The sequence below is a fragment of the Homo sapiens genome, chromosome 12 (genome assembly GCF_000001405.40).
Source record: "Homo sapiens chromosome 12, GRCh38.p14 Primary Assembly".
In the NCBI taxonomy this organism is placed as follows: domain Eukaryota; kingdom Metazoa; phylum Chordata; class Mammalia; order Primates; family Hominidae; genus Homo; species Homo sapiens.
In genome coordinates, this window is record NC_000012.12 from 86,468,650 (window position 1) to 86,491,604 (window position 22,955).

General features: G+C 34.7%; 1 protein-coding gene across 3 annotated transcripts in view, besides 1 other annotated feature; it reads right to left on the reverse strand.

Annotated features, from left to right (window-relative positions):
- Window positions 1-22,955, reverse strand: part of MGAT4C (MGAT4 family member C) — an 883,334-nt gene that overhangs the window by 512,983 nt on the left and 347,396 nt on the right. The gene's annotated exons all lie outside the window — the stretch shown is intronic.
- Window positions 16,151-16,776: an enhancer, noted in NCBI's record as "NANOG-H3K4me1 hESC enhancer chr12:86878577-86879202 (GRCh37/hg19 assembly coordinates)". NCBI's record gives its function as "activates a minimal SCP1, AML or CMV promoter by ChIP-STARR-seq in primed H9 embryonic stem cells {active_cell/tissue: H9 hESC(primed)}" and the evidence as "EXISTENCE:reporter gene assay evidence [ECO:0000049][PMID:30033119]".

The following is a 22,955-nucleotide window of genomic DNA, read 5'->3' on the forward strand; positions in this document are numbered from 1 at the left end:
TTATTTCTCCAACTTTCTCTTCTACAACATTTCCCCTTCCTCGGTTCTAACCACACTGAGATTCTGGCTGTTTCAGACATAGCAAGCATATTCCCATTTTATTACCTTTACCCCATCTTTTTCTCTGCCTAGTGTGCTTTTCTTCTAGATTCCTATTTCACTAACTGCTTCAGGTCCCTTAAGTCTTTGCTTGAATCTTATATTCCCAATGAACACTGTTGTAAATTACATTTTTAACACCACAACTTATCCCCAGCTTACCATCTGCTCTTTGGATTCTGTCAATTCCCTCTAGTCTTTTTTGCTTATCTTTGTTTTCATAACATAAATCACCTCTTCACATATTATCCAATTTAATTATTTTGTTTGTCATTCATTGTCTCTTACCTTTCCCCTCACATAACCAGAGGATTAATGGGGCTTGTTCTTTGATGTATCCTATGGCCTAAAACACACGATACTTACCAAAAAGTATTTGTTGAAATATACACACCTGCTGTATTTAGTCATACTACTGTATATTTTTAAATATATTATATCAGTTAATCCTGTGTTAGGCAACTTCTAGAGGGTTTCAATGATCCCTGCTTTCTGATATTTACCCTGTTGTGTAAGGCTTCTTGTTGAGTGTGAGCTGTACCTAGAGAATTGCTTTTAATGAACAGAATATGGCAAAAGTGATAGGTTATCACTTCTATGATTGAGTTATGAAAGACTGCGACTTCTGTCTTGCTAGTCTCATGTCTTTTGCCAGCACTCTCTCTTGTCTGATTCCTTTCTCTCATAAATCAAGCTGTCATGTTGTACTCTCTGGATAGGCACACACAGCAAGGAACTGAAGAAGTCTTCTGGCCCACAGGTCATCAGCAACTGAGGCCTCAGTACAGCCAGCAAGGAAGTGAATCTTGTTAACAGTCATGTGAATCAGGTAAGAGACTGTTAGATTGGTACCAAAGTAATTGCGGTTTTTTTTTCCCCTGAAAGTAATGGCAAAAATGGCAATTAACTTTTGCACCAACCTAATTTTTTCCAATTGAGACTTGAGATGACTGTGGCCTTGTAAGAGCCCAGGTACCCAGGGAATTAGTACTTAGATTCTTAACCCATAGAAACTGTGAGATAACTGTTATGGTTTTCAGCCATGAATCTTTTGGATTCTTTGCTATGCACCAGCAGATGACCAAAATGATGATCAATATGAAACCACATATTTGCATGAAGACCAAATCCTCCTATAGAAACTGTGGGAACTAAGAGTGTTTTTGTTTAGTTTAGTTTAGTTTTTTCTCAGTATTTTTATTTCACTTAGCATAATATCCTTTATGGTCATCCATGTTGTTGCAAAAGGTAGGATTTCCTTTTAAAAGCCTAAATAGTATTCCGCTGTATGTATACACCACATTTTATTTATTTATTTATCTGTTGTTGGAATTTGAGTTTTTTAATATTTTGGCTATTGCAAAATATCTAAATTATCTAAGTTAAGGTTTAGATACTGCTTGCTTACAAGCAGAACTCTAATTTTATTTTCTCCAAAAAGTAATGTTGCTACTTAAAGAACTCTAATTTACAGTCTTGCTTACTTCTAGAGGTGAAGAAAAGAAGTCTTCCAGGAAAGATACTTATGTACAGCTAAGTCATATGGAAATAGTACCCTTTGGTTCTCTCTCTTCCCTTTTTTTACTTATCTGAAATGAAAATATGAGGACTGAACTTCGACTCTATCTTGGGTGACAAGAAGAACTGAAGTAGGAAGGAATCCTATGCTAAGGATGAGAGAGAAATAAGACAGCCCACACTCCACTCCCTTCCCCCAACACCAAATGTGAGCCTATCATTCAACCCACAGAAGACTTTTTATAAATGAGAGAGAAATGAATCTCTAATGTGTTCTTGCAGCTTATTTGCTTTTTTATTTTAGGAATTGAATCTTATTCTAAACTGATACAGTGTCTCTATTTACTTTGCTTTGGTGTCCTAAGTAGAAACTATAAATACTATTTAGACTTATTGCAATAGGCAAAGGGCATATTTTAAATCATATTATGGATATCTGCAACTGTGTATCTTTTAGTTTTACAGCATGTATTGTCATAGTTATTATTGTAATCATAATGCACTGAAACTTTACATCATTTTCAACCATATACTAATAGCGAAATAACATAAATATGTTATTTTCTCTTTCTCTGCTCCTCTCCGTATCTATGTATTTACTTCCTTTATATTATTCTTAACTTCTTAGGTGAGGAACAATGCTTTAAATGACCATGGACTTCTTATCAGACATTTATGACAGCCAGAAGACCATGGAACAGCATCTCAAAAGTACTAAAGGAGAGCCACAAAACCAGAATTCTATATCTAGCAAAAATATATTTCAGAAATGAAGACAAAATAAGAAAATTATCAGGTGAAGGTAAACCAGAAATATTTACTGTTGACATATCTAAAAGAAATGTTAAAAGAAGTTTTTTAGGCTAGAGGGAAATAACTAACACCAGGGGGAAATATGAACCTTCAGGAATAAAGAAAGAACAACATAAATGGTAAATATCTAGATAAACATAAAAGATAATTTTTCTACTTTTAGTTTTTAAAAAATATGTATAACTCTTGAAAGAAAACATTCTTATCTGGTGGAGTTTTCAATGTACATGAATGTAATATATATGACAACTATAACATAGAAGCCACTAGGGGATAGTAAAATGATGTATGGGACTATAAGTATTTTACATCTTACTTGAAATATTAAGTTATTAACTCAAGAAAGTGTGATAATTTAGGCACATATATTGCAATCCCTAGGAAAAAATACAAAAATATAAAAAGGTTACAGATAGGAAGCCCACAAATTAAACAGTATACTAAATACTTACAAAAAAAGGAGAAAATGAGAAGTAGAGGCACAAAGTAAGAATATGCACTATATAGAATATACTATTTGAAGTACTAGCCCATAAGTTCTAGCCCATAAAATTAAGTCCGTGATGTGAGAAAATTTTGGCTTAAGAGAAAATGGAGTAAGCCACAGAGTAGAAGATTCAGTGCAGATGAGTGAACCCTTAAAATGATGTAGAAGAGAGAAGCTGAATTGGGTAGACAGTAAATTACAATGAACAAATAGAATACTGCCTTTGTTTACTATCATTCAAAGTATTATATGTTACATAGTATTACTTGAAAATGCTATGAACCATGGAAGTGGATTTTTCCAAATCATAGAATTCACTAATCTAACAATTATGGCATTTATAAATACTATTGATAATATTAGTAAACATTTTTAATACAGTTTTTATCATATAAACATTTTGGTACATGTTATTTCTTTTAAGTGCCAATAGTTTTTGTATTTTAACTGCATATGGCAAAGTATTTTCCTAAAATATTAGAACATTTATCAATGGTGCATACTTTACCTCTTCGTAAAGTTAAGTTAATGCTCTAATTTTTAAAAATGTTCCCATTAGGGCACCAATTGTAGGATGGAGTGGAATAAAATGATAATCTCAGAAACTTTTGCCTCTATACTTTGTCTCCTTCCTATGTGTCTGCCTCCAGCGACTGTAGGCCATTTGAAGATTACTATTGCTGCTATTCTGGTTACCTAGAAAATGAGACAGATTATAAGGCCTATGAAAAGACTTAACTTTGTTTATGTAGAATTTTCATTAAATTTGCTAAAGGGAAGTGCCTAAGGAGGTTTCCTGTCTTTAGCAAATATATTTATTGGTGACCAGATCCTTTTTTGCCTTACCTTCACAGTTATTTCTCTAACATCTGAGGTTTTGGTAGTCTGATTTTTAGCTAAGTATGATATTTAATTCAATTAAAAGTCTATATTCATTAAAGAAGGCTTACATTAAGAAGAATGAAGTTCTAATTTATTTTCATCCATCTATATATATTATTGTTGTGTTATATAACTAAAATCTTACTATTATAGATTTTTTTTCTTCTAGCTTAAAAGTTCCAAGTGTTCTATCTTAGTAATATGATTTATTCTGGAGGAGAGGGATGTTGTAACAAATACTTTCCAGTACAAACTAAGATATTTGCATTTTCAAGTTTTGTATTAGAAGCAGTTTTGAGTCTTAGTAGTCTTATAAAATTATGATTAAGTGACCAACAAGTATAAATTTTGAGTCACAGATATTTAATTACAGTCGAGTTAAAAGAAGAAAGAAAATGAAATAATTGGAAAAAGATCTTTCACAGGAAGAATGTCTTATTGTTAGTACGGAAGAGAAATAAAATGAGAAAGAGAGGAAGGGAGGAAGAAGCTAGATATTTATTTATTTACGTATTTATTTATTTAGAGATGGAGTCTCGCTCTGTTACCCAGGATGGAGTGCAATGGTGCAATCTCAGCTCACTGCATCCTCCGCCTCCCAGGTTGAAGCAATTCTCCTGCCTCAGCTTCCCAAATACCTGGGATTACAAGCATACGCCTCCACGTCCGGCTAATTTTTTGTGTTTTTAGAAGAGGCAGGGTTTCATCATGTTGGCCAGGCTAGTCACGAACTCCTGACCTCAAGTGATCTGCCTGCCTCAGCCTCCCAAAGTGCTGGGCTTACAGGCATGAGCCACTGCACCGGGCCTGATTTCTTTTTTGTGTGTGTGAAAGTAGGAATGGAGAGCAATCACCAAGAAATCCGAAATGACATCCAGACAGCAAGTAATGCCAACTCTGACAAACCACTGCTGTGATCAGAGTTTGCACCTCTTTAAGATTTCAGATGTTGATTCTTTCTTCATGCATATTCCCATTAGAACATTTATCACTGATACATATTTCCTAATAGCTAAAAGTTTACTCATTACCAGAGATTGATGGAGAAAACAATGTTACAATTAAGAAAAGATCTTGGACCTGTCATAAGAAAAGAGACACCATTTGGAATAAGAAGACCAAGAATATGCCATTTACTGCCTTCAAGAGCCTTGAGAAACTGCATAAAGCAGTCTTAGGAGGATGAATTCAAATAATGGCAATATTGCATAATAATGTTATTTTTAAAAGATTAAAAGAAATTCTGCCTACTGCATCATTTATTATTAAACTGTATATTAAGACTTTCTAAATTTGCTTCCCTAAGATAGAGTGATATTCAATCATTTTTGCTTTAATGAATAAAGTCCATCTTTAATAAGTAATTGCAAGTGGGAGAGAATCGGGCCTTTTTAGGTCAAATATACTTGAGACATGAGGGTTCACAAAATCTGACTATGGAGAATTTGCATGATAGGGTTCACTGTGCAACAGAAAGCAGAAGTTTCTATCAATGGATAAAATGAAAAGCAAGATTGTGTCACAGATTTTTTGTTTCTTTGCTGCTATATAATGCCATACTCCCCTCTGACCCTCTTCCAAAGTATCCCCAGGGTAGACTATACTAACGAGATCCTTTTTCAGCAAAAGAAAGTCAGGCACTATTCACAATAGCAAAGACTTGGAACCAACACAAATGTCCAAAAATGATAGACTGGATTAAGAAAATGTGGCACATATACACCATGGAATACTATGCAGCCATAAAAAATGATGAGTTCATGTCCTTTGTAGGGACATGGATGAAGCTGGAAACTATCATTCTCAGCAAATTATCGCAAGGACAAAAAACCAAACACCGCATTTTCTCACTCATAGGTGAGAATTGAACAATGAGAACACATGGACACAGGAAGGGGAACATCACACACCGGGCCTGCTGTGGGGTGGGGGGAGGGGGGAGGGATAGCATTAGGAGATATAACTAATGCTAAATGATGAGTTAATGGGTGCAGCACACCAGCATGGCACATGTATACATATGTAACAAACCTGCACATTGTGCACATGTATCCTAAAACTTAGAGTATAATAATAATAATAAAAGAAAGGAACAGAAATGTTTAAACCTCCCCCTTGACTAGAAGTAATTAAGTAACTAAATTACAAATACACACACTTACATCTGGGGAGGTTAAACTGATTTTATGAATTGTATAAATGACAAGGATTCATACTCTGGCTTTTCAGGTTTTCTTTTTTTTTTATAAGAAAGCCCATCATTTAACAGTAAATAGAGGTTTTCTAGTGTGTCAAATGGGGATATGGTCAGATTAATGGCGAATTCAATGCTATGCATGTTTTTACCCTATCTCTTTTTATTTTTGCAAGATGTGGACACCTTTTAAATGCATTAGTTTCTTCCTGCATTGTACAAAGCAAATAAATAGGTTCTTTAAATTCCAACCAGTCAATAATTGAAATATATGCACAAAAAGTATATGTATAAAAACACATGTAAACTGATCAAGTGTCCTAAAAACACATTTAAAATAAAAATACAAAGTTAGAAGTTTAGCACTTAACTGAATATATGTTAATATGCATTATAAAAATAGTAAACTCATATAACAGAGATAGTATAGCTTGAAAATTAAGGACTAAAGTCAGAATGCTCTTTTTCAGCTCCCCAATACTCCTATTTATTTGCAATGTAACTTTTGATAAACTTCTCAAACTCTTTAAAACTTAGGTTCCTCAACTGCAAAATGGAAGGAAACTAATCACTAACTCAAACATTTGTTTTAGTGATTAAATAAAATATAGTAAAAAGTTTTTAGTAGAATACTCAGGATATAAAATTCTATAAATAATTACCAAATAGAATTTGGTTGCGAAATGGTCACAAAGATAATTGCAGAGAATACTGGAAAAATAATTGACAAAAATTTATATATTATTTAAAAGATTGAAGTTTACAATGCATGCAGAAAAATGCATAAAGTCATTATAAAATTGAGGTGTTAATGTGATTTTTACTACACAAGTTGGAATAACTGCATAATTTCAAATATAATAAATTGTTAGTCATCAATTTGAAAAGATTTTATGAAAAAAGCCATGATTTTATGACACAGAATCTATATGTTGTATAGAAAGCATGAATTATATTTCATTTTAGTTATGGTCTCTCTTTTCTTGATATAATTAACATTTAAAATATGTTTTCAAGGGTATATTGTTCAATGTCACTATAAATAATTTATGTTAATAGAAAAGCAGAAATTAAAAATGTGATAGCCAATATTTTGGGTACAGCAACTTTCATGACAATCATTTCTTTTGAATATATCTGCTATAAATACAAATTGATACAAAGTAAGCATGATAAACTGTCATGAATTTTAAACTATTTAATTATCATCATTATAATTGCCATGAATTATTGTACACTCACCATTTACCGAGAATTTCTGTGTTATTTTTTACTTTGTGTGTTTTTTATTGTGTATATTTAAGGTGTACAACATGATGTTTTGATATGCAAGTAGATAATGAAATGATTACTATAGGTAAACACATTCACACATCCATCACCTTCCATAGTAATGTCTCATTGTACATGTGTGCACGTGTGTCTGTGTGTTAACAGTACCTAAAATCTACATTTTATCAAATTTTCAGTATAAAATACAATATGATGCAATATTCTTTATACATTACGTAAAAATGTAGACCAAGGGTAGATTCACAAATTATGCATCTGACAAAGGTTTAATATCTAGAATCTATAAGGAGCTTAAACAATTGAACAAGCAAAATACAAATAACCCCATTAAAAATGGGCACTTCTCAAAAGACACTTCTGAAAAGAAGACATACAAGTGGCCAAGAAACATATGAAACAATGCTCCACATCACTAATCATCAGAGAAATGCAAATCAAAACCACAATGAAATACCATCCCATTTTCTGTTACTATTAGAAAATAAAAAATAACAGATGCTGGTGAGGCTTTGGATAAAAGGGAAAGCTTATATACTGTTGTTGGGAATATAAATTAGTTCAGTCCCTGTGGAAGGCAGTTTGGAGATTTCTCAAAGAACTTAAAACAGAACTACCATTTCACCCAGCCATCCCACTCCTGGGTTTATATACCCAAAGGAAAAAAAAAATTTATCAAAAAGACACATGTATTTGTATGTTAATTGCAGAGCTATTCACAATAATAAAGACATGGAATCAACCAAGGTGCCCATCAATGGTGGATTGGATAAAGAAAATATGGTACATATATACCATGGAATAATACACAGCCATAAAAAGGAAAAAAATTATGTCATTTGCAGCAACATGGATGGAACTGGAGGACACTGTCCTAAGCAAATTAATGCAGGAACAAGAAAGAAATATAGCATGTTCTCACATGTAAGTGGGAGTTAAGCCTTGGGGACTGATGAATATAAAGATGTTAGCAGTATAGACTGGGGGATACTACACAGGGAAATGATGAAGCGGGGCATGGACTGAAAAACTACCTATTGGGTACTATGCTGACCATCTGGGTGATGGAACCATCCATATCACAAACCTCAGCATCATGCAATATACTCATGCAGCAACCCTGAAAATTTAACCCCTGAATCCAAAATGAAAAATAAATATATATATATTTGTACTTATTATAAGTGAAAATATACTTAATATTTTCAGATCATTTATTGGTTGTATTTATAAGTAAAATTGACTTTTGTACATTGAAAAAAAAGAAAATGTGGTCTATATACAACATGGTATACTATGCAGCCATTAAAAAAACCTTGTTATTTGCAGTGACATGAATGAAATTAGAGGCCATTATCATAAGATAATTAAAGCACAAATAGAAAACCAAATACCACATATTCTCACTTATAAGTGGGAGCTAAATATTGAGTTCTCATGGGCATAAAGAGGACCATAGTAGAAACTGGGGACTACTAGAGGAGGAAGAGAGAAAGGGGGAACAAGTGTTGAAAAGCTACCTACTGGGTGATAAGATCATTGGTACCCAAGCCTCAGCATCATGCAATACACCCAGGTAACAAACGTGCACATGTACCCGCTGAAGCTGAAATAAAAGTTGAAAGAAAAACGCAGATAAAAAAATGTCCTTTTTCTCTTTATATATATATATTTTTATTATACTTTGAGTTCTAGGGTACATGTGCACAACGTGCAGGTTTGTTACATATGTATACATGTGCCATGTCGGTGTGCTGCACCCATTAACTCGTCATTTACATTAGGTATATCTCCTAATGCTATCCTTCCCCTCTCCCCACACCCCACAACAGGCCCCGGTGTGTGATGTTCCCCTTCCTGCGTCCAAGTGTTATCATTGTTCAATTCCCACCTATGAGTCAGAACATGCGGTGTTTGGTTTTTTGTCCTTGCAATAGTTTGCTGAGGATGATGGTTTCCAGCTTCATCCATGTCCCTTAAAGCAGATTAATGTATAAAACAGTCTTCGAACTAACTTGGACTTACAAATTTGCACATTTTCTTTTAAGAGCATTTCATATTTTCTACTTTACTTCCGAATTTTCAAGCTGAGAAATTTTGTTTATAATTTTATTTTCTGTGGATTTTATAAGGCACTACAAGATCACTGTAGATTAAAAATTAAATAGTAAACAGTCCCTAACTTCAAGTTGTTCATAATTTATCACAGGCACTGAGGTGGATGCCTAAATGGCATACTCATATACAGGAGAGAGGTCAGAGGCCAGTCTAGCAACTGAATTTTGTGGATTTGTCAGTAAGAATTAGAAAAGTAGTTGTGATGTTCATGACAATAGGGTGAAAGAAAGATGTAAAAGATGTCATGTGAAGACTGAAAAGTATTTTCCTTTTTGAGTTAGACACAATAGTATGTAGTCTTTTTCAGTCTGTTTTAAAGCCCTTAGGCATGAACAGTAATGTATTCAGGATCTGTGGAACAGGTAACATAGTGAACTGCCAGAGCGAGGAGAACCAAGAAGTGGAAAAGAGCAGTGAACTAAGTAAATCCTTAGATCTATGTCATCTCAAATTGGCAAATTTGCTGATATTGTGATTGACTTAAGTATCAATAATATCAACAAAAATATTGGTAGTTCATCTAAATTTTAAAATTCAGGTTTTTCTGTTGTTTTCTTTAAATATCTAAGTCAGTTCCCCACTTACTGCCCATGGCAATTCAAATTCCCTGATTAACACTGGAGCTTTTTGCAAGATTTGAAAATCTTTCTCAAGATCATAGTTTATTCAACCTTTGTTTTGAATTTTTCAAGTAATTCAAACCTCACAACCATATTATGCTATTATTAATAACCATTTTAAAGAAACTGAGGAAGGGATATTGAAATAGCTTCTCAGATCTATCCAACTATTAATATTAAGTAATGTGAAAAAGAATAAAACCCAGAATGTCTAAATTATTTAATATCTATTTTTAAAATAAAGTCCTGAGTTATTCCAGAATAAATTATTTAACCTAGTCCTAAGATTAAAATTTTTGTTTTGAAATCTCACATATTTGAAGGACACGTGACTTTTTTACACCACATTGTCTGAATTAATTAGCAAAGGTATTGCAAGCAAACCAACAGCATAATAGTGAACACTTCCTCATATCTTAAAAAATCAAATTCTATAGACTTTCTAAACTATGAAAAATTTACATTTGTCATTCAACAAACTTATTCTGTGTCAGTACCTGTTTCATCCATTTAGATGCAACAGTGTATGAAAACAGACAAAGATTTCTGTTCTTAAAAGTTTACAAAGAGGAGAGCCTGCCAATATAAAAATGAATATATAAATTTTGAAGTATGCAAGAAATTAATCAATACTATAAAGAAATAGTAGAGCAAGGAAAGCATTTTTAATACTATCTAGAATTTTCAAATCTTCTTATGGTTTAAAGTATAGTCATGATACTCTCTTGGGTAAAGTGAGTAGGGCTGGTAGGTGCCTGCATGTATGCATGTGTGTGTGTGAATAACTGTGTATTGCTATTTAGAAGAGTTAGGGTGGTCAAACTCTAAAAAGATTCACATTGAAATAGTCATCTTCTAAAAGGTCACATGATATGTTACCTTAGCTATTTTTTTTATACTTGAAATACCTTGGGCAGTAACAACTCTTCCCAAATTTGATTTAAATGATAAAAAGAAAGATCAGTGAATGACTATAGTTATAAAAAATGTCTATAACAACTGTCAGCAATCTCCAGCAATTTATGGTACTCTTTGTAAGCGAAATGACTTTATTATAGAGCAAGAGTGGAGCCTTTTCACTTTCAAAGTTACCTACATCTAGCTGCAATTGTTGGTAGGATTAAGCCTCATCAAAAATAAAATTGGGAGTAAGGAAAAATCCTAGAAATCAAAGTTGCAAAAAAGACTAGAATAGAAAACTGATCACACTTTGGAAGTTACTCTGACTAAACACTGAAAAACAAAATGCCTTTTTAATACTTATTATTATCATTAACTTTGGAAAGAGAAAGGATCCTAAGTTAATTTAACCGTTAGTCAATTTTACATGAATACATAATACCCTAAATAAATATCTTGTTCATTAGGTAAGCATATAGTTTTATGATAAAATTTAAAATCTATGCTTCTATTATGATTCAAATTTACACAAATTTATTTGGAAGACACAGTCATATTATTTTTATTTTCTATAAAAGTTTTGGAAAAAAATACACTAAAGAAATACTGCATTGTAAAAACCACTCTTGCCATTAGAGAACATGTAAGTGTTCTTTCATGTATAAGTAATAAAGAATCAACATTTGCTGCTTTTGGAAACAAAATGAAACAAGAGAGGAAATATGTCTAGCTTTTAGGGCAATTTGGTAATATTTGAGAAACACAGCCTGACAACTCAAAGGGTATTTTTTAATGTTTATGTAAATGTATACATATGCATACATGTGTACATATAAGTATATATATCCAACATATAAACATGTATGTATGTATACATATATAGATATGTACACATATACATATGTATGTATACATATATAGATATGTACACATATACGTATGTATACATATATAGATATGTACACAAATACATATGTATGTATACATATATAGATATGTACACATATACATATGTATGTATACATATATAGATATGTACACATATACATATGTATGTATAAGTAGTTAATGATGTATAAACATATGTACGTATGTGTGTATATATGTATATACAAATTTGATAGTTACATGCTACTTATAGTTTTTATAAAAACACATATTGCTGTAACTCTTTATTTCTCCAACTTTGCTGCAATTAACACAAAATAGGTGCTAAATGATTTTTATTCCTGTTGATGCTCTCTTCCCTTCTCTACAATAAAACAACCTTTTGTATTGTTTTTGTTTCTTTTTTTTTCTTCTTGCTGAATTTGAATATAGGTTCTCTTCTTCCTTAATCACATCAGGACATTTTCCACACTCTGAAATACCCAGTCACTTTGAAGTAAAACTACCCATATATTATTGTGAAAATGTTAGAATGTGAGAAATACAATCTTTCAACGTAAAACAAAACATTCCAAAATAAAACATGCCTATAATCCCAGCAGTGATCATAACAAACATCAAAGAGACAATGAGGGATATCTAAATGTCTTAATAAAAGTTAAACCTAATAAGCATCTATTGGTTTATAATGCTATAAATTCTAATGTTTTGTATAGGAAACATGTATATTTCATTTTCTTTTTAAAATTTTCTTGGTAAAAAATGTACAGCTTTCTTTTATAGCTCAGTCTAGAGGGTTATAAAGAAGCCTGAAATAATTGTCTTCTAGACTTAACACCAAGGACAAATGGAATTGGCAAAGATTTTTTTAAAGTTACAAAACTTAGTGTGAGGGAAATGATTGCTCTCATATGCTTTTGTTAGCAGTGTGCATTGACACAACCTTCTGGAGTTTAGTCTAACAACACAGATTAAGAGACATAAATGTGTGTATTACCCTCTGATGTAGCATTTCCATTTCCAGAATTTATATTTTTTAAAATGTCAAAGAGATACACAATATTTAGAGGCAAGAATCTTCATAGCAGTATTATTTGCATACACATACATATACATAAAGAATTAGAAGCATCTACATGTCCAGCAATATGGATATGATTATCATTATACACACACATGCAGACACGCACACACACATAATAGAATTCTAGTTAACTATCCAAAATGATTTGAAAGAAAATAAATCATATTGAAAAATATTTAAAGTTTCTTTTCAACTAAAATGGTAACAACATGGTACGTATAAATAATATATTTTTATTTATTTTTCACTTTTTTTAAAGAGATGGGGTCTTGCTATGTTTCACAGGCTGGTCTTGAATTTCTGGCCTCAAGCAATTCTCCCATCTCAGCAATTCCAAACTGCTGGAATTATAGGCATGAGCCACCACCTGTATTTAACAATATGTTCTAAATACAATAATGTATTTTTAAAAACATATATATTATTTATTAGGGCAGCATATATTAAAATATCCCTGATAGTGACAATTTCTAGGTTGTAAAACAGTCCTCTTTTTTCTTATTTGTATTTTCTAAACATGTCACTACACACACACACACACACACACACACACACACACAAGCAAGTCTTCTTTTTCAAAGAACAGAATAAATTGATATAAGTTGTATTTTCATACCAAAGTATTCTTAGACCATTTTCAAATTTGATAAGGGTATTTCCACTTCTACAAACAAACATTAGAACAACACTACACTATTTTTACACAATTTTTAATCAGCTAAATTAAAAAACTGTGTAAATATGCTTGAGCAACAAAATTTATAGATATCACATTTTAGTAAAGTTACTCTTGAGAATCCAAATACTGCTATCAATTCTGTCTTCAATTCTCAGCAGATTGACATAGTTATAATGTTTTCTATAATTATCAACTTGAAAAAGTTGACACATTTTTATTTTTAATTATATATATACTCGGGATAAGGATAATCTCTTTAAAAAATGAAAAATTCAAAGGATTGAAGTTTACATGAGTATGATCTTAGTAATTTACATTTTCTACCTTCTAAATGTATATGTTGTTGAACAGAATTCCAACCTTATTTATTCTCGAGAAAGTATTACAAATATACTGTTTTCAAATATCTTTTAGAATTTTTAGAAGTGTTTTCGTATTTAAAAGTTTTCAGCTTGTTAGAACAAATTTTCTCTAACGTATAAAGTCTATTTTCCTGGGTGAAGTTGCAAAGATTGTCAGAGATTAATTAAGATGTCCAATGAAATTATAGTCATATATGATACAACGCATAATTTTCTTTAGGTCACAGAATTTACAATTTCATATTTATTTAGCAGAGCAAATGTAAATTTTGTAATTTGTTTTATTTGACCAGTTCTACTTGTTTATAAATTTCAAAGGAGAATAACTGGGTTTAATGCTAATATTTCTTTCTTGTATTTATTTACAAATGTATCGTGATTCTTACATAAAAGTTCAAGGCATTAGTTTGTCTTAGTTACTTCTGGCTGCTATAACAAAATATCATAGACTGGGTGATTGTAAACTACAGAAATTTATTTCTCACAGTTTTGACGTCTGAGAAGTTCAATATCGAGGATGGTTAGATCCTTCTTCTTGTTGTGTCCTCACATGGCAGAAGGGGTGAAGGAGCTATCTGGGTTTCTTTTATGAAAACACCAGTCCTGTTCATGAGGGTAGTACCCTCATAAACTAGCTACCACCCAAAAAGTCCCAGTTCCAGATATCATCACATTGTACATTAGGTGTCAACAAATGAATTTTAGGGAGACATAAACATTCAGTCTACAGCACTGTTTTCTATGAGTGAGCAGGAACAAAAACAAGAGATATAATTCCTCTTTATAGAGGCTATTATTTAATAAATAACATTTTACCCCCCAAAATTCTTAGTTTGAAGTATTTTATAAACATATAATTAGATGAGTGTGTATTGTTTCTATTCTAAATAGAAAAGTCCACATTTCTTGAAGGAAAATCAAAAGGTTTTGTGGAGTGCAAATTATTGGAAGTACAGTTTACTTAGAAAAGTATGTTAGGTGCATAAAATGAAAGTTTTGAGTGTAAAGGCAGTGACAATATATTTATATTTTAGACAAAAGGGGCTCATTTGCATTATGGAGAGTGATTCTATTATTTTCTGAATCAGTTCACTCCAACATATTCATATGGCACTTATTTATTTGCAGAACTTTAGACTTCAGTAGAGCCTGTAAGTCTCCTACTTGGCTTCATTTCTGCCTCACTCATCCATGCCTTTCCAGCCATTCTCCCTGGTGTCATTAGAGTGATCTTGATGTTAAGACAAGATGGCCTACTAGATGCAGCCAGGAAGTGCCACTTGCACAGAGAGAGACCAAAATATCAAGTACACCAACATATTTTAAACAAATATTTAGAGAGAAAACAACAAGAGTTATTAAAGACGCAAGGTAAACACTGTGGCTAAAGAGCAAAAAAGCATGAAATCTTGTGCAGGGTTGCTGAATGCCAGGGCTAATTTCCAGTCCAGATCAGCTTCTAGAGAAGGTGTGAGTAAAGGGATGGTGAGGTGGACCACTCTCACAGCAGATCTCTGGGATCCCAGCTACAAGAGATGCCATGACACCAAAGACATTTGAACTGACAGGAGAATCAGCCCAGAGAGTAGACAGAGACAGAGACCCATGCTGCAGAGCCGAGGAGCTTCTGTGTTCTGAGGTAGCTGCAGTGGAACACCACCATAGGCACCCTTCTCTAGAGGCTTTCTGTCTTTCTCTGAAAAGCTTTAACTAACCCCAGCTGGCCACCAGGCCAAGAGAGAGCAGAACCAACTTTCCTGCAGGACTGGGTACATCTGTTCTGCATGTTCCCCTGCCTGCTAGCCTGGCTTAAGGCCCCTCCCTGGCTACTCTCACAGACGTATGTGCACAGTACAGCCTCTGCTGCCCAACCTGGTGCTTTGCCTGCAGTCCCACCTGAGTACTTTCCCAGTAGGCTGAGAGTAGTTAGGATCCCCCAACACAGCCAGTGTCTGATCTCGAGGGGCAAAAGGATGTAGCTGAGTGTTGATCCCAATCCCTCAGGGCTGCAGCATGCAGCATGGGAGGATCCCCCACACTCAGAACACTGAGAGGGGTGAGAAATGTGGGTTTGTGGACCGGCGTGGGAGTGGGCTGTGGCTCCAATCACAGGGCTGGTCCAGGAAGAGTGAGACCTGTCAGTCAGCCCGACAGCCTTTCCTGAGAGAGCCCAAATGCCCAGAACACCTGCCAAAGGAAATGTGGACATGGCACCAGTGATCAGAGGAGGCTCCCCCAAGGCCCAAGAGCAGGCTTGGTGAGTGGGGTCAGGTCTTTCCCCAGCCCACCAAAAAGCACCACTGTGAATTCAATGAAATACAATATAGCCACACAGCTGATTTAGAGGCTATCTTCTGGCCATTACTCTTAAGCACCATCTACTAGATTACAGTTCAAATTACAACATCAAAAATATTCTGCCAGTATGTACTACCTGTGACACCCAGGGCAAGAATCCAGCCACAAATAAAAATCCTGTATAAAGGCTTTTCCTTCTAAAGGACTCAGAAACAAAGCTTACAGACTATACTAAACTCAAAGAACAATAGCTTCTGATGAGAAAGAATCGGCATAAGAATGATCCCAATTCAAAAAGTCAGAGTGTCCTCTTACTTCCAAATGAGTATGCTAGTTCTCCAGCAATGTTTCTTAACCAGACTGAAATGACAGACAGATAATTCAGAATCTGGATGACAAATAAGCTTATCAAGGTTCAGGAACAAGTTGAAACCCAATCCAAGAAATCCAAGGAATCCCATAAAATGATCTAAGAGCTGAGGAAAAAAGAGCCATTCTAAGAAAGAAGCAAACCAGACTTCTGGAATTGAAAAAATCACTACAAGAATTTCATAATATAGCCTGTAGCATAAATAGCAGAATAGACCAAAAATTAGGAATGTCAGAAATTGAACATTAGTTCTTCAAGTCAACTCACTCAGAAATTAATAATAAAGAAAAGAAATTTAATGAACAAAATCTTCAAGAAATATGGGACTATGTAAAGAAATACAACATTTTACTCCCTGGCATTCTTGAGAAAGGAGAGGGTAAGCAACTTGGAAAATATATTGGAGGATACAATCCATGAAAATGCCCCCAATCTTTCTAGAGAAGTTGACACGCAAATTTGAGAAATACAGAGAACCCCTGTGAGGTACTATATAAGACAACAACCTCCAAGACACATAATCATCATATTCACCAAGATCAGTGAAGGAAAATAAATCTTAACAGCAGCTAGAGAGAAGGGTTGGGTTACTTACAAAGAGAATCACATCAGGATAGCAGTGAAAATCTCAGCAGAAACTTTACAAGCCAGAAGACATCGGGGCCTATTTTTAGCATCTCTAAAGAGAAGAAATTCCAACCATAAATTTTATATCCCACCAAACTAAGCCTCATAAAGGAAAGAGAAATAACATCCTTCTCAGACAAGCAAACATTAAGGGAATCCATTATCGCTAGACAAGCCTTATAAAAGGTCCTTAAACATGGAAGCAAAAGAACAATACCCAGTACCACAAAAACACAAATAAGCACATAGCTCTTCTATTAAGTAATTATGTAATCAAGTCTACAAAACAACTGCCAAACAACATGATGACAGGATTGAAATCTCACATATCAATACTACCCTGGAACGTAAATGGTCTAATTGCCCCACTTAAAGAGGATAGAGTAGAAAGGTCTATGAAAAGACAAGACCCGACTGTCTGCTCTTTTCAAGAGCACCATGTCACATCTAATGACATGTACAGGTTCAACATAAAAGAACAGAGAAAGATCTATCATGCACACACACACACACACACACACACACACACACACACACACACAAAAGAGCATGAGTTACTATTCTTACAAGAGAGAAAACAGACTTGAGACCACCAACAATCAAGAAGGAAAAAAAAGGGATAAAGGTTCAATTTAATAAGAAGACTTAACTATCCTAAATATATATGCACCCAGCATTGGTGTACCCAGATTCATAAAATCAGTTCTTCTTGACCTATGAAAAGTTTTAGACACCCACACAATAATCGTGGGACACTTTAATAATTCACTGATGGCATTAGAAAGATTATTGAGGCAAACAACTAACAAAAAAATTCTGGACTTAAGCTGAACACTCACAAAAGTGGACCTAACAGACATCTAGAGAATACTCCACACAACAATCACAGTTTATATATTCTTCTCATGTGCCCACAAAACATTCTTATTTTTTAAGTTTAAAAGACAGAGTGTTTTAACGTCAGTCTGTTGATAGTTAAACCCAGTGAGTAAACATTGGGAGTCTTTGCCTAGAGATCTGGATTCTGCAAATTAATCAATCGTCAAATTTTCAGGCTCAGCAAAGCAGTTTTATCTGAGTGCTTAAAATGGATATACCAATCAGGGGAAAGACTGATATCAATTGAATGCTTGCAAGAGACTGGTGTATAAACTGAAGTTCCAATCGTTTTAATTTATAACAATAACTGTGACAGAAGAATCAGAATAATTATGCTATCATGGTCACGTCTTTCTCTCTCTGTAAAACAAGCAAATGATGATTTCTTGAATAGCAATGGAGTCATTTGGTACCAGTGTTTAAAGGGATCATTCTCTGTGAAAGAGATCTATTAATACAAGAGCCAGAACATTCCTACTCCTAACTAGTGTACATTTAGATACTGATATATAATGCCTTAGAGCTAGTTTTCCAACTTTCCACTTTGATACATGTATTCTTTCCTTGAATGTATCCAGTTAGGACTAAGCCCTGGAAATTGTTTTGCTCCAAAAGGTGACTTTGCAGATCAGACTTAATTATCTGCATTGCTTGAACTCCTGGAAGGTGGTCTTTATTTCTTATTCGTAAGTTTTGGAGTGGCTATTGACTTTAGTTGTCATAAACTTACCAATTTAGAAAACAAGTATTTCCGAATTTTGATGTTTATAATTGTGCTCTTTTAGGGGTTCTTGATTTTCTTAGAGCTGAAGAAGTTAGTATGTGTTTGACAAATGTCTGAAGATTTTCTATTTCTAACTACCAATGGTTAAGTTTAAATATATTTACATAATATGTCATTTTAAGGTAATTTGACTTTTATGCCATTTGAAATTTCAAATACAATCACAAATAAAGCAATGAAGAAAATTAAGCTTCCAATTTTATTCTAAATACTATTCTTTCCTGAAAGTTTCCCAGGAGACTTACTTTAGTTGTTAAATTTCTGTAATTTTACTAGCTTGACATAAATGTTAAAAGTTTGTTTTTACATAAATAAACATTGCGTCTAAAATAAACCTTACTTTCTTAACATCATAAGTTTATATCAAAATAAAAACAAATAAATTTTGAATGTGGAATGTTATTTGTAAGCTAATGAAATCATTTAGGAATAAAACCAGGATTGAAACTATAAGAGCGTTTTAATTCATAACTCACAAGATATAGATTAAGAAAGGTAGCATTAGCTGCCTGAAATCAGTGGTAACATAAGAGTAATAAAAACACAGTATGCAAAATATTGGCTGGGCATAGTGGCTCATGCTTGTTATCTCAACACCTTTGGGAGGCTGAAGTGAGAGGATAGTGTGGACCTACAACATAGTGAATTCTCAGTATGTTGCCCAGGAGTTTGAGATCAGCCTGGGCAACACAGTGGAACCTTGTTTTCTACAAAAAAAAAAAAAAAATAGAAAAATTAGCTGGGCATGGTGGCACATGCCTATAGTTCCAGCTACTCCAGGAGGCTGAGGCAAGAGTATCGCTTCAGCCAGGGAGATTGAGGCTGCAGTGAGTGGTGACCATGGCATCGTACTCCAGCCTGGGTGACAGGGTGAGACCCTGTCTCAAAAAAAAAAAACAAAAAACCCAAAATGAAACAAAACATCATTCACTAATTTATCTAAGGCAGATACCTACAATGTCCTAGATTTTGTTTTCTCTCTTGAACTATCCAGTGAGTAAGCAAATTAGATTTATTCTGTCCTTTATATATTTCACTTCCAATAAATGGCTTGAAGAGTTTCAGTGGTCTTCAGTTCTCTGATTTTTCTCCCAATAAGAACCTCAATTCTAAAATCTATGAGGAACCGTATTATTTCTCAGTTGGAGATTATTCTTCACAACATTGCACCCAAGAACTTTCAAGCATAACAGTCCTTCTTAACATTAAGATATATCAGAGCACATTATATCATATGATTGAAGTTCTATTAGCTGCTATAAATGGTAGAATAAAATTAATAATACTTTAAAATAAATTTCTATTTCAACAGCAAAAAAAATGTGGTTATTTTAAAAAGAGTGGTAACAATAGGAGACAGAGAAATTCTGGGCAGACAGAGGTGGGTCCCTGGCAAAACCCCACCTTCAAGCCAAAAAACTTGAAATCTGTGGCCCAAAGTGGGAGCTTCTATCCCTGTGTGCCCACTCTAACCCAGCTGGTGCTCTCTGAATAACATCTTTTTGCCAGTCGAATGTTGCCTTTTCCAAAACTACCTACAGCCTGCCCTGTGCCTATCTTGTGCCTATAAAGACCCCAGACTCAGCCAGCAGAGGACAGAAGCAGCTGGATATCAGGGAGAAGCGACTTAACTTCAGAGACAGTGGCTGGTTGAGGCAACTTAACTTCAGAAGAGAGAGGTAGAGAGGTGGCTTGACTTCAGGCAAGAGCAACTTACACTTCGTGTCCCCTTTCCAGCTCCCCTCCCCACTGAGAGCTGCTTTCATCACCCAGTAAAATTCTCTACATTCATCACCTTTCAGTTCATCTGTGTGACCTCTGGACATGCGACCTCTGAGAGACCTCTGGGCACTGCACAAGAATTTGGGACACACCAAGTGTGGGTACCCTAAAAGGCTGTCACACTAGCCCTTTCCTCTTGCTGCCAGAGGGCAGCTGCCCCAAACTACAAGGCAAAGGGCCTATTGAGCTGATAACACACTGCTATCTGTGGACAGCAGACCTAAAAGAGCATTGTAACATGCCCTCTGGGGCATTGGGATCACAGGCACCCTGACCTGGATGCTACTGTGGGACATGCATGAAGTTTAACTCCTGCTGGCACTGAAGCTGCTGGCCAGTTGCCACACTTGTTTGCTCATACACTCCCTCCTCCGAGGGGTTGAACCATGTGGGCTGAGTAAATGAGGCACCCTTGTCAGGAGTCCTGCAAAGGAGTTAAGAAATTATCCTGCATCAAAGCCTCAGGAGCCGATGCGATCAACTGGAAGAAAGGGTATCAGTGATGGAAGATGAAATGAATGAAATGAAGCGAGAAGGGAAGTTTAGAGAAAAAAGAATAAAAAGAAATGAACAAAGCATCCAAGAAATATGGGACTATGTGAAAAGACCAAATCTACGTCTAATTGGTGTACCTGAAAGTGACGGGGAGAATGGAACCAAGTTGGAAAACACTCTGCAGGATATCATCCAGGAGAACTTCCCCAATCTAGCAAGGCAGGCCAACACTCAGATTCAGGAAATATAGAGAACGCCACAAAGATACTCCTCGAGAAGAGCAACTCCAAAACACATAATTGTCAGATTCACCAAAGTTGAAATGAAGGAAAAAATGTTAAGGGCAGCCAGAGAGAAAGGTCGGGTTACCCACAAAGGGAAGCCCGTCAGACTAACAGCGGATCTCTCGGCAGAAACCCTACAAGCCAGAAGAGAGTGGGGGCCAATATTCAACATTCTTAAAGAAAAGAATTTTCAACCCAGAATTTCATATCCAGGCAAACTAAGCTTCATAAGTGAAGGAGAAATAAAATACTTTATAGACAAGCAAATGCTGAGAGATTTTGCCACCACCAGGACTGCCCTAAAAGAGCTCCTGAAGGAAGCACTAAATGTGGAAAGGAACAACCGGTACCAGCCACTGCAAAATCATGCCAAATTGTAAAGACCATCGAGACTAGGAAGAAACTGCATCAATTAATGAGCAAAATAACCAGCTAACATCATAATGACAGGATCAAATTCACACATAACAATATTAACTTTAAATGTAAATGGACTAAATGCTCCAATTAAAAGACACAGACTGGCAAATTGGATAAAGAGTCAAAACCCATCAGTGTGCTGTATTCAGGAAAGCAGAGACACACATAGGCTCAAAATAAAAGGATGGAGGAAGATCTACCAAGAAAATGGAAAACAAAAAAAAGGCAGGGTTTGCAATCCTAGTCTCTGATAAAACAGACTTTAAACCAACAAAGATCAAAAGAGACAAAGAAGGCCATTACATAATGGTAAAGGAATCAATTCAACAAGAAGAGCTAACTATCCTAAATATATATGCACTCAATACAGGAGCACCCAGATTCATAAAGCAAGTCCTGAGTGACCTACAAAGAGACTTAGACTCCCACACAATAATAATGGGAGACCTTAACACCCCACTGTCAACATTAGACAGATCAACGAGACAGAAAGTTAACAAGGATACCCAGGAATTGAACTCAGCTCTGCACCAAGCGGACCTCATAGGCATCTACAGAACTCTCTAAACCAGGAAGAAGTTGAATCTCTGAATAGACCAATAACAGGCTCTGAAATTGTGGCAATAATCAATAGCTTACCAACCAAAAAGAGTCCAGGACCAGATGGATTCACAGCCGAATGCTACCAGAGGTAAAAGGAGGAAATGGTACCATTCCTTCTGAAACTATTCCAATCAATAGAAAAAGAGGGAATCATCCCTAACTCATTTTATGAGGCCAGCATCATCTTGATACTAAAGCTGGGCAGAGACACAACCAAAAAAAAGAATTTTAGACCAATATCCTTGATGAACATTGATGCAAAAATCCTTAATAAAATACTGGCAAACTGAATCCAGCAGCACATCAAAAAGCTTATCCACCAAGATCAAGTGGGCTTCATCCCTGGGATGCAAGGCTGGTTCAATATACGCAAATCAATAAACGTAATCCAGCATATAAACAGAACCAAAGACAAAAACCACATGATTATCTCAATAGATGCAGAACAGGCCTTTGACAAAATTCAACAACGCTTCATG